General features: G+C 43.6%; 1 protein-coding gene across 43 annotated transcripts in view; it reads right to left on the reverse strand.

Moving 5' to 3' along the window:
- DCAF1 (DDB1 and CUL4 associated factor 1) overlaps positions 1-17,836 on the reverse strand; it is a 109,773-nt gene that overhangs the window by 2,987 nt on the left and 88,950 nt on the right. For 36 of the 43 annotated variants that reach the window (NR_146065.2, XR_007095774.1, XR_007095775.1 and 33 more), the window contains 6 exons: positions 15,771-16,004; positions 15,097-15,190; positions 14,429-14,533; positions 14,140-14,213; positions 13,526-13,627; positions 4,290-4,542 (listed from right to left, as the gene is read on the reverse strand). Coding sequence is in view for 33 of the 43 variants with exons in the window: in NM_001171904.2 (NP_001165375.1) it covers positions 4,290-4,542; positions 13,526-13,627; positions 14,140-14,213; positions 14,429-14,533; positions 15,097-15,190; positions 15,771-16,004 (862 nt within the window). In the remaining 10 variants the exon portion in view is untranslated. The remainder of the gene's footprint in view (positions 1-4,289; positions 4,543-13,525; positions 13,628-14,139; positions 14,214-14,428; positions 14,534-15,096; positions 15,191-15,770; positions 16,005-17,836) is intronic. The other 7 variants (XR_007095776.1, XR_007095777.1, XM_047449275.1 and 4 more) reach the window with 1 other exon arrangement.

The following is a 17,836-nucleotide window of genomic DNA, read 5'->3' on the forward strand; positions in this document are numbered from 1 at the left end:
AGATTACACACTAGGCTTATAGGAAGCTTTCCTACAGAAGCACCTGCACTCACATACATTCATGCCCGAGCAAGGTTAACTACCAGTTTCCAGAAAGAAGAAAACACATCAATTAACTCCTTGGAGCTGGCTCTGGAGAATACTCCTGTTGCTTGGCAGTTGTATTCTCCCGGAGACCTTTTGCTCTCCTAAGGGCCTGGACACAGTTCCCCTGCTTCCTGCCTGGGAGGCGCTGAAGGGATCAAGCGAGTGCCATCTGAAGCTTCCCCCCATGCCACTTTAAATGGCTGCAAAGGGGCAGAGCTGACGGGAGCAGTGAGTAAGCCTCCATGGCCCTTGGCCTCTGCTGTCCTTCAAGGATACGCACAGGCCTGCCTGACCCCAAGAGACCACTAGAAAGGCAGGCTAAGACCAGGCAAAAGTGAGAGATGTATCTTTTCTGAAACACCTTAGTCACTCCCTTCAATCCTCAGAAGACCGACCACCAAGGCAGAGATAGTCACCCTAGATTCATGCCTCTGTAATTTCAGAATATAGTCTGCAAATTATATTCCCAAAAAGGTGCAGGCCAATTTGCAGCAATACAAGAGAAGTAGCTACCCATCCAGAGGCAGGAGGCCAGCGGGAGCAGTGTGACGCCCTGGAAGACAGCACTGTCTCTGATGAGGACCCTCTCTGCTTGACAATCTGCCTTCTCTGGCAGCACACGGACACATTAACACTTCTGGAAGGATCTGTTAAGGGGTGAAACTTAAGTGGTAGCAAAAAGGACCCTCAAGATGAGGTAGATACACCATGTCTGGCTGATCAAAATCAGAAAGAAACAGGGTACCTAGCTTGTAGGGACTCTAATATTCGCTGAGTCAAAGAAAAGGAAAGTTCTCAGTGCCCAATTTGATTACTCGTAGCTCAGGAGGCTATGAAACCATTTTACCTAGGTCCCCCATAAAACAGACAAACCCTGAGCCCGTAAAACAGACAAACCCTGAGCTGGAGCCCTGCAAATGCCCCATGTGGTAAGGGGCAGCCACTAGATGCAAAGAATCCCTCATCAGCCTTTTTCCAGTGCCTAAGAGAATCAACTCTTGGACAAACAGAGAGCAATCATGTTCCCAAACCTTCCTTCATTCATTATCCCCAAACACAACTTCCTTTAGGAGGAAAACTGAAGTGGACAAAGGAAAACCAAGAAAAGCATGGCAATGATACAAAAAAGTCTGGAAGTAAGCAAAAGAAATGGCTGACAAAACCAGTGTTCCTGGGTCTAAGTGGGCACAAGAGTGGCCTGACTGTATTGGTGATGTATTGGTGAAGAGTAGGAAAACAAGATGGAGATGGCAAAGAACTATTATCTAACACAGCTGAACAAAGCAAGCCTCAGCTCCTCTGCTGTAAGAGCTCCAGGAGGAAGTGTCACAGGAGGGTGTGGGGCCTCCTCCCCAGAGCCAAGTCCAGCACTGTGTCCCCACCCCATACCACAAACTTGCCTGGTCCCTGCGGCAGCATCCACAGCATCCCCCAGGACTCATGCTCTCCACAAGCCAACAATGCCAGACCCACCGGCCTGAGACCCTTCTGCCCAGCAGCTATGCAGCTCTTAAGAACTAAGAATCTTAACCACGCTGTAGCACATCTAAGAACTGTAAATGCAGCTTAACGAGGTCACAGCACAATCTTCTTTAAGCAAGTAACTGTCAGGCTCAAGGTCTGAGAGAAAACCTCCAGGGCTTGGGCACCAACTCCCCTCTGGTGGTCAGACCATAGGACGCCTTTCTCTACCTTCCTTATCCTTTCCCCACCTTCCTTATCCTTTCCCCATTCTCCAAGTGTTGAAGTGACCCAATCCCAAACCCTGGTTAGGACCTCCCATTCTGAAAGGTCGCTAAGGCAGACAATCTAGGTATAATTAATCCCTGTAGTGTTTAACCTATCGCTCTACAACATACAGGTTCTGGAGGCAGGGCTGACAAGCAGAGACACATAAAGATCTCAGAATCAGGCCGGGTGCAGTGGCTGATGCCTGTATCCCAGCACTTTGGGAGGCCAAAGCAGGCGGATCACGACGTCAGGAGATCAAGACCATCCTGGCTAACACGGTGAAACCCTGTCTCTACTAAAAATACAAAAAATTAGCTGGGGGTGGTGGCGGGCGCCTGTAGTCCCAGCTACTCAGGAGGCTGAGGCAAGAGAATGGCATGAACCCGGGAGGCGGAGCTTGCAGTGAGCCAAGACTGCGCCACTGCACTCCAGCCTGGGCAACAGAGTGAGACTCCATCTCAAAAAAAAAAAAAAAAAAAAAAGATCTCAGAATCAAGCTGTTTCTCTTCCTAGGGCCAGGGCTCTGCATCTGCAATCAGGGAGTCCCTGCAGACTCCAGGGCCTACGTAAAGGTACGTGGGGGCGCATGGGTGTGGTTTTCTATAGTTTCTATGGCTTTCACCCTATCCTAAAAGGGCTCTTCATAAGCCCAGTAAGGTTCAGAGCTACTGCTCTAAAGGATTAGTGTTAGGCAAAACCATGGGTGCTAAGAATGCTCTCCTTGCTGACAGCAGCTGGCTCTTCTATGAAACACAGAAAGAGCCATGGAGTGTGCTCCAGATGCCACCTCTGCATCTCCACCTCAATTCTGAAGTCCACTCTGAGACGTCCTCAAGTTGTGATCCATTATTTTCACATCGTAAATATTCTCATAAAGTAACAACATTCTCACAACTGATAGAGTTAAAGTTTTCCAGATTACCTTTGGCTTGAAAGAAGGAATTTCCTCAACAGCTAAAAGAGGCAGTAATTGTACAGGCCAAATACAAACTGAGTGGCTTTATATTCAAATTAAGAATGGAAAAATTAAAGTGATGCTCTCTTATTTTGGGAGCACCACCATCAGCTGGCCTGCTGTTTGCTGACCCTGCGAACCTGCCCTGCTAACTACTTGTAATTGAAAGGAGGTATAACTTGTTTCCCATGTCTCACTATTCACACGTGACAAAAACGTTCATTAAAACTTTGTCTGACCAGGCTTCGGCCTACTCCACTGAATCACCTCAGCCTCCAAGTATGAAAAAACAGAAGTTGATGAACAGCAGATGAACATATAGAAGACACTCCCCTACCCTCCCACCCTCAAGCTTCCTCAAAATACAGCCTTGGTAAGAAGATTCATGTACAGCTGCAGAGCTAACAGCCTCTTTGAACTATTTGCTGATTTCTGCAGGATTCATTACCATAGTCAGGGGACAACTTGACTTCAGAAACCTAATGGGAAATAACTAGAAGAACTGGAGTTTGTTCCTCAAAATTTGGATTAAGAAAAAAAGGTAAATAAAAGGAAGTGAATAAACCAGAAGCCAAAGGGAAAATATTTTCCCCTTGGCTGTTAGGAGGGATTAGCCAAAGGGAGACAGGAAAGGGCTCCTCCACAAGAGGGCCTGCATTTCTTTATAATTCACCCCAAAAAGAACAGCACCCCATGAGGGGCTGCTTCTGACTGATTCTAGCCATGCCTCTCGGCGGAGAGCTACACTTTGGCCTTTCATTCTAAGGCTAATCCTCTGAAGCAGGAGTTGACAAACTACAAGCCCACCACCTATTTTTGCAAAACAAAGTTTTATTAGAACACAGCCACAATCATTCATTTACGGATTGTCTATGACTGCTTTCTCACTACAACAGCAGAGTTGAAGAGCTGCAACAAAGGCCATATACCCTACAAAGCATTTTTTTTTTTTTTTTTTTTTTTTTGAGATGGAGTCTCACTCTATTATCCCAGCCTGGAGTGCAGTGGCACGATCTCGGCTCACTGCAACCTCCGCCTCCCAGGTTCAAGCGATTCTCCTGCCTCAGCCTCCCAAGTAGCTGGGATTATAGGCATGTGCCACCACGCCCAGCTAATTTTGTATTTTTAGTAGAGACAGGATTTCATCATGTTGCCCAGGCTGGTCTCGAACTCCTGACCTCAGGTGATCCACCCGCCTCAGCCTCCAAAGTGCTGGGATTACAGGCGTGAGCCACCGTGCCCGGCTGCATAAAATATTTACTGTCTGATCTTACAGAAAAAGTCTGCCAATCTCTACTTGAAAGATAAGAAATGACAGCCATTTGGTTGGGTTCCACAGTCTGACAGGAGAGGAGGGCAGAGATGCAAAGGTGCTTTGCCTCAAGAGACCAGAGTAGTGAATCAAATTATGGGGCACAGAACCGTGGTATGGCTTGCCCTCTAAGTTGTATGGGCACAAAAGAAGGGATCTTGCCCTGGGTGCCAAGGCTCAGCCTGAACTCTGCCCTATACTTACTGTCCCCCAGGATCAGTTCCACCTCCTCATCTGCATCAGAGTCTTCATCCTCCCCGTCCTCTCCCTCCTCTAGAAGGTTTGCTAGCTCCTCATCAGAGGGAGAGAAGTCATTGTCCCCATCTTCCCCTGCGTTCTCATTATTGTCGTCCTCCTCCAACTCCGCCTCCAGCAACTGGTCAGTGTCAAGCTCATCTAAATCATCGGTGTCATCATCATCTTCATCATCATCTTCTTCCTCCTGTTCTTCCTCTTCCTGGTAAGAAAGCGTAATGTTCATTAGTACAAACACAGAGGCCTGACCCATGGGGGCCACATGGCGGGTCGACCAAAGAGACAGGGTAGGAAACTGTCAGTAGAGGGTAGTAGTGATCTAGACGAGCACAGACTTCATGAGCCAGCCAGACTTGTCAGTGATGGCTGAGATAGGCACACATGTCCCTCAAGACGGTCAAAGCACCCCTCAGACAAGGATTAATGGTCACATAGCCCTTATGCAAGGAAACAGACAACTCGCTTCACAGAAGTCTCTGCCTTCAATATTCTAGGAGCCCAAGGGGACTCTTCTTTCTCACCTGCATCAACCAAAGCAAGTGAAATCAGCTGAGACACTAGAAAAAATCCTTTTACCTGGAATCTAAAATGCAATGCTTTAACAAAATGGAAGAACACAACTGCTCATTATCTCCTCAGCCCTTCAAGCTCTTGCCCTTGATCTTCTAACCAAGAATGTGGATAAGCTCCTAACTATGCTATCACAAACATTTGATCAGAACAACATTGCAACAAAAGACTTAAAATATAGAACACTAACAGAAACCCATATTTCCTGTCATAAGCCAAAAAGAAAAAAAAGTATGCTGGAGAAACTATCTTTCTTTCCATTCTTACAAGAACTTGCAAAGGCAAGAAAATTACCAGAACATCAATGAAATACTTTGTTCTAGGGACTCTGGGCTTTGTAAATGGTACATTCTGGCATCTGCCACAGATTTCAGGTTTGCATTAGAATCCCAACTGTTTCCCTTCAAAAGGGAGAGGACACAAAGATACCTCTTTGCTTTGACAGGGATAAGAGGCATTTCCAAGTAAACGTAGCTGCCACTCAAGACACTTATCTTTCTGCTCAAACATCAACTGTCAGCCTTGCCAATAGCAAAGGATTCTAATTGTTACAATAATAAAATGTAAAATTCATTTAATACATCAACCTAATGAAATTCAAGATGGAATAAGCCCAACGTAAGCACAAAAAAATTTTTTTTGTTCTTATTATTTTAAAACTTATACTCAGTGGTTACATCTTTTTTCATTTTGAAGGTGTTATTGCCTGCCAAGCACTTAAAAAACAAGCATTTTGTGCTTACCCAGCCACTAGAAACCAGTGTGTAACATAAGCTAGGATCATTCAGCAGGGTAGCTCCGCTTTGTGGACTTCTGGTAATTTTGGAACCACCATTAGTGACTTTTTGATAAACTGTGTAATTCAGTAATTTAGACTCTTCAAAATTTCTGCCAGTTATGTTGGAAAAACTGAGCCCCTTTTAAATACCTAGTACTCCTAATACTTGTGCAAGTGCGTGTATGGTCTGTACCAGATTCGGTGGGAGCATTTGTGTATGTGCCAACACACACACACATAGAAGGCCTGAGACTATTCCAAAGCCTTGGCCACACATCCCCTCCAGAGGTGAGTGGATAAATAACTACTAAGCATTCACCCGCCTCAAAGGAACTATGAGTGTCTGGAGTCAACAATGATAAACTGAAACACAGACAGGCTCTCAGCCCCTACAAGCACATAAGCTCATACAAATAACTGGGAAAGGAGAGCGGGGTCAAAATTCAGGGGATATCATCCAAGTGCTTACCAGATTACAACTTTTGCCTCTTTTTCCAGGCGTATTTTCATAGACTTGACCAAAATTAGCTAATCCACTAACAAAGTGCCACAGTTAAAAATAAGTAAGGAAGAAAGTACCCAGGGCCCTGTGTCTTAAGGCTTCGTGGACAGAACACTTATATTTAAAATTTAAGATAGCACAACTAAAGGTCCACGGTTGAGTGTGTACATGAAAGGTTAAACTGCTCAAATAGGCATGGGCTAGCCAGAAAATTCATGAAGACAATTCTCTTTCATTTTGAAGAACATTGAGGCTTAGCTGATCTAGAAGAACTGAACAAAAAGCTTCCATATCAAGAGCAATCCTGGAATATTTTCAAGCAGGGTCTAAGCTTTGAACTAGATACCATTCCAAACTCTTCCAGCAGCAGACAAACCCAAATTTTACTTAATTTTATAGCAGAAGAAACAGATGTATATATATTCATCCCAGAAGGCCACAAACACATATGTGACCATGAGAGAGAGGAGGGGAAATTAGTAGGAAAGAGATCTACCTGAATCTCAAGTTGAGCACCTCACTTTGTCGTCTCTACTTTGTATTTAATGCCCAATGCTGATTTCTCACCATGCATTTTGTCACACATGGACATAGCCATAAACTCACTTTCCAAATTTTAAATCTGAAACTGGGATCATGAAGCAGAGGCTCACAAGACTCATCCAAAATGCTGTGGCAGAACCCAAAAGAGATTCTAGGAAGCAATTTTAGGTGCATTCTCTGCTGGTCAAGTAACTGGTGGCATGAACCCCTCTCCTTCAGATCTAAAGAATAAAGCTTCCAATAATGAGTGGTCCAAAAAGTAAAAACTAAAAATAATTATTTAATGAAAAAGCAAAGCTTAGCTGGGCACAACGGCACACACCTGTAGTCCCAGCTACTCAGGAAGCTGAGGCAGGAGGATCACTTGAACCCAGGAATTCAAGGCTACATTGAACTACGATTGTGCCACTGCACTCCAGCCTGGGCAACAGAGTGAGATCCCATTTCTTTGAAAACAAAAACAAAAACAAAAACAGGCCGGGCGTGGTGGCTCACACCTGTAATCCCAACACTTTGGGAGGCTGAGGCGGGCAGATCACGAGGTAAGGAGATCAAGACCATCCCGGCTAACACAGTGAAACCCCGTCTCTATTAAAAATACAAAAAATTTGCTGGGTGTGGTGATGGGCACCTGTAGTCCCAGCTACTCTGGAGGCTGAGGCAGGAGAATGGCATGAACCCAGGAGGCGGAGCTTGCAGTGAGCCGAGATCGCGCCACTGCACTCCAACCTGGACAACAGAGCAAGACTCTGTCTCAAAAAAAAAAAAAAAAAAAAAAACCAAATTTTTCTAGAATCCTGACTCAACTCTGACAACATTTAGAAAATGTTTTGGATCCAGGGATATTGTTTTTTTTTTTAATTCTCTAAGACTTCTTTTAGGGCTTAGAGGAATTCAGGGCCAGGCCATTTTAAATTAAGGTACTAATAAATTTCTCTACAGAAAGAATTCTAAAACTCTTCTCTCCTTAATTCCACCTACATCAATTTCATGGTTACCCAAAGCCCCCAAACCCTGCAGATAAACAACTCACCCCTTTCCTTTACAGAAAATAGGTCAACTGGCATAAGCTCCCTCCGCTGCTCTCTGGTCCCCTCTACATCTAAACCTGGCTTCAGCCCTGGTCTGAGGAGGAAGCATGCTACCCACTCCTGCTCTGGATCTCAACCAACCCTGAGACCCTGTTACCACAGACACTTTTCTCATCCCCACCTCACCACCACCTTCACACTGGCTTCTCACTTTCTATGCCAAGAGGTTCAGTTCTCCCAAACCTAATAAGCTCTCCATCTACATAGGCTTCAGATGCCTTTTACCTACACTTTGGCTGGGCGCAGTGGCTCACACCTGTAATCCCAGCACTTTGGGAGGCCAAGGCGGGTGGATCACCTGAGGTCAGGAGTTCGAGACCAGCCTGGGCAACAGGGTGAAACCTCGTCTCTACTAAAATACAAAATTAGTCGGGTGTGGTGGCACATGCCTTTAGTCCCAGCTACTTGGGAGGCTGAGACAGAAGAATTGCTTGAACCTAGGAGGCGGAAGCCTGGGCGAGACAGAGTGAGACTCCATCTCAAAAAAAAAAAAAAAAAAAAACAACAACAAAACCGTCATTCAAATCTGATCCTGACCTTTATGTAACATGTCATATTTTGCTAAATGTATAAATGCCTACTTTTTAAAAAATACTTTTTCTGTCCTTAAAGGCTATAGGTTCACTTTAGGGTCATAAATGTTTGTTTTTCTTTCCTCAATGGCAGAATCTAACTCAAGTTACATTTCAATTCTTTAAGAAAATGAGGCCTTTCAGGAATCAACACATTCAGCTCTGACCAGGTGTGTGTAATCAGTAAAGACTCTTAACATCCGCTTCTAGGCAGTGGAGAACACACAGGAAGCACAGCACACAGTGTGTCCCAGACTCCAAAATGGAGTGGAAAACAGAGAGCATTATTCCTTTGTTGAGTTTTTTATTATAAATTTAAGGTTAAGTATAATTAGCTAAAATGTATTGGCTTGTCAAAATCTAGGAGCAATGATCAATTACTTATCTTGGGTTTTGTAACTTTTCTAAAAGTCAAATCAAAGATGAATGAACTGATTTCTAAAAACACAGGCACCAGGTTGGGCGCGGTGGCTCATGCCTATAATCCCAGCACTTTGGGAGGCCGAGGTGGGCGGATCACCTGAGGTCAGGAGTTCGAGATCAGCCTGGCTAACATGGTGAAACCCCATCTCTACTAAAAATACAGAATTGGCCGGTTGTGGTGGCAGGCGCCTACAATCCCAGCTACTCAGGGAGGCTGAGGCAGATTTGCCTGAACCTGGGAGGTGGAGGTTGCAGTGAGCCAAGATCGCAACACTGCGCTCCAGCCTGGGTGACAGGGCGAGACTCCATCTCAAAAAAAAAAAAAAAAAAAAAAAAACAACCAGATACCAAACTTCTAATGGATAATAATGAGCTGTGATAGGTGACTAGCTTATCTCTGCTTTCATCAAATGCCTGAAGGCAGGCAGACTAGCAGCCTCAGGAACCAAATATTTATGGGTGTCCAATACATTGTTTAGGTTTTCATTCATCTAGATACAGCTAGCTGTACCTTTCATCCTTTCCTCTTAATCTCCAAGCTTATTTAAGCATAAGGACAAAGGACAAATATTTTATGGCATGTCAATTATATCTCGATAAAGCTCTTTATGCTGGACCATTTTATTAGATGACGGCTGACCATTCAGGCTTCTGAATTTATTTTGCTATAATGAAAAGGCAAATTCAAAGGTGTTGGTCACAGGTGCCTGTATCCCTGAGCCACATAAGTCATATCTGGAACATCTGAGAAGACCTGAGAACAGATATCTAGACTAGGACAAAACTTTGAATAGCAAATGATTCATAGGAAAATGAAAAGTCTCTAGTTTTAAAATCAGGTGAAGCGTACAAAGCAAAGTAAAACTAGAGACTGGTTTTCCTACAAAGGAAAGTGAGTTTAAAAAAAATTCAAGCTGGCACACTGTGCATGAGAGGCAGTAGGCAGAAATCTGATGGAGATAGTAAAAACAGCCAAACTCCACCACAAGATTCTAGAAGGAGCATGGATCAACAGAATTAAGGTTACAAAAGAGACCTACTCAAATAGATACGGTATTATCCCGTATCTCTAAATCAAACATCTCTAAATCAAAAATCAAAATGCCAAGGGCTTGAGGGGATAAGCAGTTCTCTAACAGAGGTCCTTCAAACATGAAATGCACCAGATGATCAATAAAAGCTGTAATATCAGTATGGAGTGAAACATGCCTAGATCCTAAGAAATCTGGAAGCCACAGTAATAACTTAGCCATGTTGCACACCTACCCTGCCACCTAGTCTTCTCTGAGCTAGAAAGCTTTCCGGCTCTTCTACAGGCTGGGCTCCAGAGCCACTCCTTAGAGCCCTCTTGACCCTGCCCCTCTCACTCTTGGCTGTCACGCTGAGGCAGCCTCTTGCTTTCCTTCCTGCATCCAAGTCAAAAGTCCTGACCACTACCATATGCCCTTCCTAATCTCTTTCTCCCTTAACTTCTCAGAAGTTAAGCAGGACAAAAGAAGAAGAATTAGTCAGTCTTTTCCCTGACCCAAGCCTTCCTGGAGAGAGTGGGATAAGAGGAGTATAACTCTTAAATTATTCCCTTATGGTGGCCTCTCGCTTCCACAGCCAGCCACCAACCTCCAGTGCCTTTGCCTCTCACCACTCCATGTCTGCAAGAATAAGGCGAACCCAGAGAATAGCCTTCCAACTCCCAAGGTGTCTAGGGCAATCTCAACTTTCCTCTGAGTTGACCTCCCCCTCAAAGACAGACACCAGGCATCACATGGACCCAGGTGATGGTTCCCAGAGAAGACTGCCGCCCACTGCCTTATTAAATGCACGGATATGGGAGGGCTGGGATAATGATGTTGACAAACAATCCAGTTTTGGCCTCAGATTTATGCTTCAACATGTAACATCCAAGAAGCCTGATTCAGAACTGATACTTGGTAGTGATGAATAAACCCACGGAGGACAAAGCAGTCGACAGCCACCCATACCATTGTAATGTACGCGCAAATGGCCTGACAACTGCACCCTCTGTATGGACTCAAGAATAAACTACATCTTGTTTCATGATAGCTAATGTGAAAAAGTAGGCATTAAGGGAGTGAGGTGTCTAAGGTAGCAAACTGAAGTGAGAATAAAAGAACAGGCAGTATTAAGAAACCCACTCAAGGCAACCACATGAAATTTGGAGGACCTAATACCAAGCTCTGCTACCCAGAAAGACTAGAAACATGTACAAGCTGTAACAGCACAGCACTCAAGAAAACACTAAAATCCATGTCACAAATAAATCAAAGATTTCAAGTATCCACTGGAAAACCTCTCCCTTCTACCCATATCTCATAACTCACATGAGCTTTAGACACTGCTGGCTCCTCTCACCCATGAAACCAAGGCCCCTATAGAGCCCATATAGCTGGAAAGCAGTAAAGGAAAGCCTTTCTACACTAGCAGATCCTTGGCAGCATTTGGTGAAGTTGTTTCAAACTCTACAGCCTAATTATCCTTTACCAGGCCCTGAGGAAGGCTCTGCTCTGATCCCACCATGGCCACCAGCTGCCCACCACACAAGAGTCTCCTCACTCTGCTCAGAAGCCCATTTCTGCAGATCACGAATCATCTCGGGCCTCTAATAAAATGCATGCTTAGACAGTCAAAACAGTGAAGACCAAGAGAGCACACACAGGGGATTTTAGGTTGAGTCTCTGTTCTAGCTTTTTTACCCAGGTGTATCTGATCCAGGTATACTGTGTCATCTTTGATGTACAGGTGATGCAGTATTCAAAGGATTTGATTTACAGAACAAATGATATGCTCATATCCTGTAATGGCCAACAGTAAAACACATAGCTAAATCTCAACAAAACACTCTTGCTTAGTCAGTACTAAGTCCCATTAGAGAAAAACATGGGTCCTTTGCCCTAGTATTAGACTTACATCCTTACAAAATTACCATTTTCAAATATTACCATTTTCAAAAATTCTTGCTTTTAAAGAATTATTTTAAATGTAAGTACAAGCTGTTTTGAAAGGACGCTAAGAGAAAGCTATTACATTAGCCCTAACCATTGAGCATGATTTATCAAAAAGTAGGGAAGGATGAGGGCAAGAGAGCTGTGGCAATGCAAACTGAGGGAAGTGTACTTTCCCCGGTCCTGTGATGCCACTGCTTCTCATCCAGAGCACCTCTGTGCCCTTAAAGAGGAGACAAAGCTGGCTGGGCGTGGTGGCTCATGCCTGTAATCCCAGCACTTTGGGAGGCTGAGGCGGGTGGATCACCTGAGGTCAGGAGTTCCAGACCAGCCTGGCCAACATTGTGAAACCCCATCTCTACTAAAAAAAATACAAAAATTAGCTGGGCATAGTGACATGTGCCTGTAATCCCAGCTACTCAGGAGGCTGAGGCAGGAGAATTGCTTGAACCCCAGAGGTGGAGGTTGCAGTGAGCCGAGATCGTGCCATTACACTCCAGCCTGGGTGACAAGAGCAGAACTCCATCTCAGAAAAAAAAAAAAAAAAAAGAGAGACAAAGCACCAAGACTAAAGAATACGATAGTAGGGGGAAACAGAAATGAACCCAAGAACTGGGGAAGAAAACATTTTTAGCTGCTTTAATATCTGAAGAGCAAAGTCAAATCCTAGTCATTCATTTTCAACTTTACAGTACTCACTCAGCAATAAATATTTCTCAGAAAATTAGACAAAAGAATCTGCCCTGGAGAATGTACTCTTGGAAAGAGAATGTGCTGTGAGCCCTGTAGGCTGGAAAAAATCTGCTGAAACTCAGAAGTTTGAGAAACTCTTCAGAACCCATACTGACACACCACACAGGCAAGCACCTAGCGTAATACAACCACAAATTAAAATTCCCTATGAAAGCAAAATGCAAAGACTGAGGGACATGATACTATCTACCCACATTTTATATATGTTTAATTTCTCAAAAGTATCAAAATCTTATCTTACCTATAAGTTCAACTCTTACCCTAATAATAGACTATGCCATAAAACTGAGAAAATATAAACCAGAACTTTATAAAGGTTAAGCCATTTCTACAGTCCATCTCAGCAAAGTGATTGTTCTGTTTTTTATTGACATTGGGAGATGCTTATCTGAAGCCAGAACGGGGCACAAAGAAATCTCTGAATGAAAATCAGAGATTGCCAGGATGAGTGCGGTGGCTCATGCTTATACTCCACGCACTCTGAGAGGCCGACGTGGGCAGATCATCTGAGGTCAGGAGGTTCGAGACCAGCCTGGCCAACACGGTGAAACCCCGTCTCTACTAAAAATACACAAAAAATAGCCAGGCGTGGTGGTGGGCACCTGTAATCCCAGCTACTTGGGAGGCTGAGGCAGGAGAATCACTTGAACCCAGGAGGCAGAGACTGCAGTGAGCCGAGATCATGACATTTCCAGCCTCGGCGACAAGAGCAAAACTCCATTCTAAAAAAAAAAAAAAAAAAAAAAAAAAAGCAGAGATTGCTAAGCTTTAAATTGCTCTGCAAATGGAATTCACGGGATCATCAGGTACTGGTTAAAATCTTATAATAAAATTTCTTCTGAGTTTCAGTGATCAAGGGTACATGACAAGCCTTATGAATGTGGCAACAGGTAGCAAAGGTTGAGTAGACCTTTAAAACCTCCTACAGCAAAAAGCAGAGCATAACCTCTATTAAGCACTGTTCAGCAGAAAGAAATCTCAAAGACCACTGACCTGGTCCTCCTCTTCATCCTCATCCTCTGCCAGACGCTGCCTGCCCACTTCATACAGCCTGCATACTGTGTCCATGTTCAGGGCATCCATGCTGCCTTGATTCTGAAATAGAACATCCAGTCCATAAGGAGCAGTTACTTTTCAGAAGGTCCACATCCACGCCTCAGCCCTGACTGGTGCCCATGACCTTGACCCTGTAATTATTAAAGCTTCTGATACCCGAAATTCTTGAGCTGACTATGAAAATGTTATACCTAGGACACATAAAGGGGAAGAAAAACAGAATGAAAAGACTTGGTGAGGAACCATCACCCTTGGAACAAACCAGTCTTGCTCTGGTGAGAGATCCAGATTCCTCTGAGAAAGGGATGACAGTGTGAGTCCAGAAAAAAAGGAGACAGGATCCTCTAAGCTGTCTTATATTGGGATTTTCTTACTATTTCTCTTTGTACTGTACATCTCCCAAGCCCCATCAAATGAATAGGTTATCAATAATCTACCTTCAGGAATGTATTGACTTTACATCTTATATCAGACAAAATGTCTGTAGTACAACTTGAAAATTATCCTAAACATCAGAACAAAAGAGCAGGGCCTCTGCAAGCTCCCTTTACCTCAATGACAGCAAGATAGCAGTCTTTGGTGTCTGTACACAGGTCAAAGATGTTCCGTTTCACATCAATGGTTGCTGGAAAATAGAATGTGAGAAGATTGGGATTGGACTATTGCTGTGACCCTAAAACCTGCTTTTCCTCTAAAGGAATTCAGGATGATTGCTCAAAAGTATTTCCATAACTTCTCTGTTTTTCAATAAAAAATTACAGGCCTCCAGAAAATGAAGGATCTTAAATAAGGAACACCAAAACACGACAAAATGTTCAATGTCTGTCCCTTTCTGCTTACCTATAGGTTTGTAGTCAGTTGCATTAAATGTTCGGAAGGATGACCCAAAGGGGCTTTTCATCCTCTCTTCCATTAAGTCATCTTCATCATCTGCCTGCAACATAGCTTGAGGGGGAGTGGGGGAGGAAACACTATTAGGAATCACAAACATCCCCTCTTCACAAGTGCAGAAAATGTTAATGGCCAATCAAAACAATCTACTTGCATATAGGTTTACATACAAATTCCCTTGTACAGAAATCTACTCTGCATCTAGTTAGCTCCTCTCAGAGCATCTTCCTTGCATATCCCACCTATTGTGACAAATAATATCCTCAGCCTCTCATCTACCTCCAAGAAGTGTTACTGTACTTACAAGGCTTATAACAACACAAGAGGACAAATGCAAAAGCTCTTAAGTTCATAATGATACACTGGAAAATACTGCATGAAATTTCTTTCCATACAAGATTTCCTTGTTATCTTCAAAGTAAGCTGCCTTTCACCCTAAACCAACATTATTTTCATATCTTTTGTCACCATTCATACTATCAATTTTTTATCTTTTATGTTACAACTCTCAAATGCTTTCCAATTCACAAGTGAGAGATGGTTCCAAAAAGAAGTATCAAATTAAGTGAAGGGGTAGAGCAAAAGGAAAGAGAATAATGAAGGATAAGGTTTATTACCTCCATACATCACTGTTCCCGTGTGATTGAACACCACGCGACACTGATCCAGAGCGGGAACAGTATGCAAAAGATGAAAAGTTCGAAGGTCCCACTAGGAGGGGAATGGTCAAGGAAAACTATTTTACACAAAACTTATCTAATCTCATGGGAGGAAATTCTAAAATATCACTTTTTTTCCTCCTGCCAGGTATTGATACTTTAAAAGTCAATGAGATCAAGGTAAAACAAATACATGTAGAATGCATATTATTGAATGATGTCTCTGAAAATATCCTAGGGTATCCTCATATACAGGAATGCTTTATGAGCTCTTTTCCTCCCAACAGTAGTACTTCATTTTCCTCTTATGTGGCAACTGATTTTTTACAGAGCAAAAGTAAAATCCTTCTGAAGACAGATAAAAGCTAATTCAATTCTTGGAGAACTGGGAGGTAGGAAACTGGTCACTCTTACCAAATACATAGAAAACATGCTAGTGAAAGTTGTCAGTAATTACTAACATTGGCAACAGTGCTTTGGAGATTTCACTAACATTTCAAACCAAAGGACAGGCACCATATTATTACCAGTGTGGACACTTTAACCAGGTATTGGTATAAAGATAGAACAAATTATTTCTGCACCACAAACCAGACAACAAATGGAAGGTAAGACATGAGTATAAAGGATACAATCTCAGTATTAATGATCACCTCCAGTCCATTTGGATGGAAAACACCACTGATGTTCATATTGAACTTGTCAAACTTGTGGATGGCCTGTGCAGAGCGGACATCCCAGAGGACGCCATCATTTAAGACAAGATCATCTGTAGGATTAAAGGTGGCACAGTTCCTCTTGTAGTTGTTGGCAAGATCTGGGTTAAACAGAGTCAACAGCTTGTTGCCAGTCTGAATATCATAAATCTTTAGAGAAGAAGGGATGGGAAGAGAAAAATCAGACCAATCCATCCACTGACAAATTAAAGAGAAAATGTGCAAAGCAGTTTCTAAAATTAACACACAAATTCTCCACATGGATCAATGATTACCACAGAATACTGCCTCCCAAAGTGCTGGGATTACAGGCGTGAGCCACCGCACCCGGCCAGGCACCTCTTTTTCTCGGGGTTCCATTCTGCCTTACTGGCCATTATATTTGATTTCCTTCCCAAGTTCCTCATTTGGCAACTCCTAAACACATGCCAGGGTTCTATACCCACAACTCTTCTCTAGTCCCCTTGATGATCTCATATAAGTTCATGGCTGTAAATACTATCAGCTGGGGACAGTGACTCATGCCTGCAATGCCAACATTTTGGGACACCAAGAAAAGTGGATCACTTGAGCCCAGGAGTTCGAGACCAGCCTGGGCAACGTTGGGGAAATGCCGTCTCTACAAAAATACAAAAAAATTAGCCAGGTGTGATGGTGCTCGCCTGTAGTCCCAGCTACTCAGGAGGCTGAGGTAAGAGGATTGCTTGAGTCCAGGCAGTCAAGGCTGTGGTGAGCTGTGATCGTGCCACTGCACTGCAGCCTGGGTGACAGAACAAGACCCTGTCTCAAAAATAAATAAATAAATAAATACTGTCAATATGTGGACAAGTCCCATATTTATATTTCCCAACCCACACCTCTCTCTTGAACTCCCAATTTTTTGTTGTTTTTATTTTCAGAGACAGGGTCTCACTTGGTTACTCAGGCTGGAGTACAGTGACATAATCATAGCTCACAGCAGCCTCCAACTCATGGGCTCAAGCAACCCTCCCGTCTCAGCTTCCTGAGTAGCTGGGACTATAGGTCCCAAGCCCACCAAGCTCAGCCAATTTTGTTTATTTTTTGTAGAGATGGGGGGAGTCTCTCTATGTTGCCCAGGCTGGTCTCGAACTCCTGGCCTCCCACCTCAGCCTCCCAAAGTGCTGGGATTACAGGCAGAAGCCACTAAGTCTGGCCAGCTCCCAACTTTTGTATTCAATCCCCATTCTCTACTTGAATGTCTAAGAGAATCTCAAATTTCATGTGTCCAAAATCCCAGGGCCAAGGTCCTCCATTTCTCATAGCCTCTACCATGCCTACCCAGGCCCAAACCCACAGCTCCTCTCATGTGTCAGGTGGTACAACACCCTCTGACCTGGAAGGCTGCTCTTGCTTCTCTCACAAAAACCAGAGTCACACTTCAGGAACTTTACATCCACTCATGTATCCTCTACTCACCCACCAGTGTCTTCATCTCACTCAAAAAAAAAGCTAAAGGCCCTAACTACCACCTACAAGATGCTACCAGATACAGGCCCCTCACTGACCTCAGCTCTCCTCCCACCTCCCAAGCAAGGGCTTTTCCCTTGCCATTTCCTGTGCCTTACGCTGTTCCTCCAGGTATCTTCCTGAATCTCGCGTTTCCTTCAAGGCTCTGCTTAAACATTACCCCATCAGTGATGCTGTCTACCCTAGATAAAAGAGAAGTCCCCCACACCACCACCAAGCATTTCCTACCTCTTACCCTGCTTTCATTTTCTCTGAAACACTTACCACCTAAATTTACCGTATATTTGCTTCTTTATTGTCTCCCCAATGAGGGTCCATAAAGGCAGGGGTTTCATTTCTAATCTAAAACTTACTAAGAATTCAAAAATATCTGTGGTGCTAATGACATCTTTCTCAATGTCACATTTAGCCCTTATACATTTTTCCCATACAGCTCAGAACTATATTATCATACTTTTAGATTCTAACTAGAAGGAATATCACTGATTTCTAGT

This window comes from Homo sapiens, chromosome 3, assembly GCF_000001405.40.
Source record: "Homo sapiens chromosome 3, GRCh38.p14 Primary Assembly".
Taxonomy (NCBI): domain Eukaryota; kingdom Metazoa; phylum Chordata; class Mammalia; order Primates; family Hominidae; genus Homo; species Homo sapiens.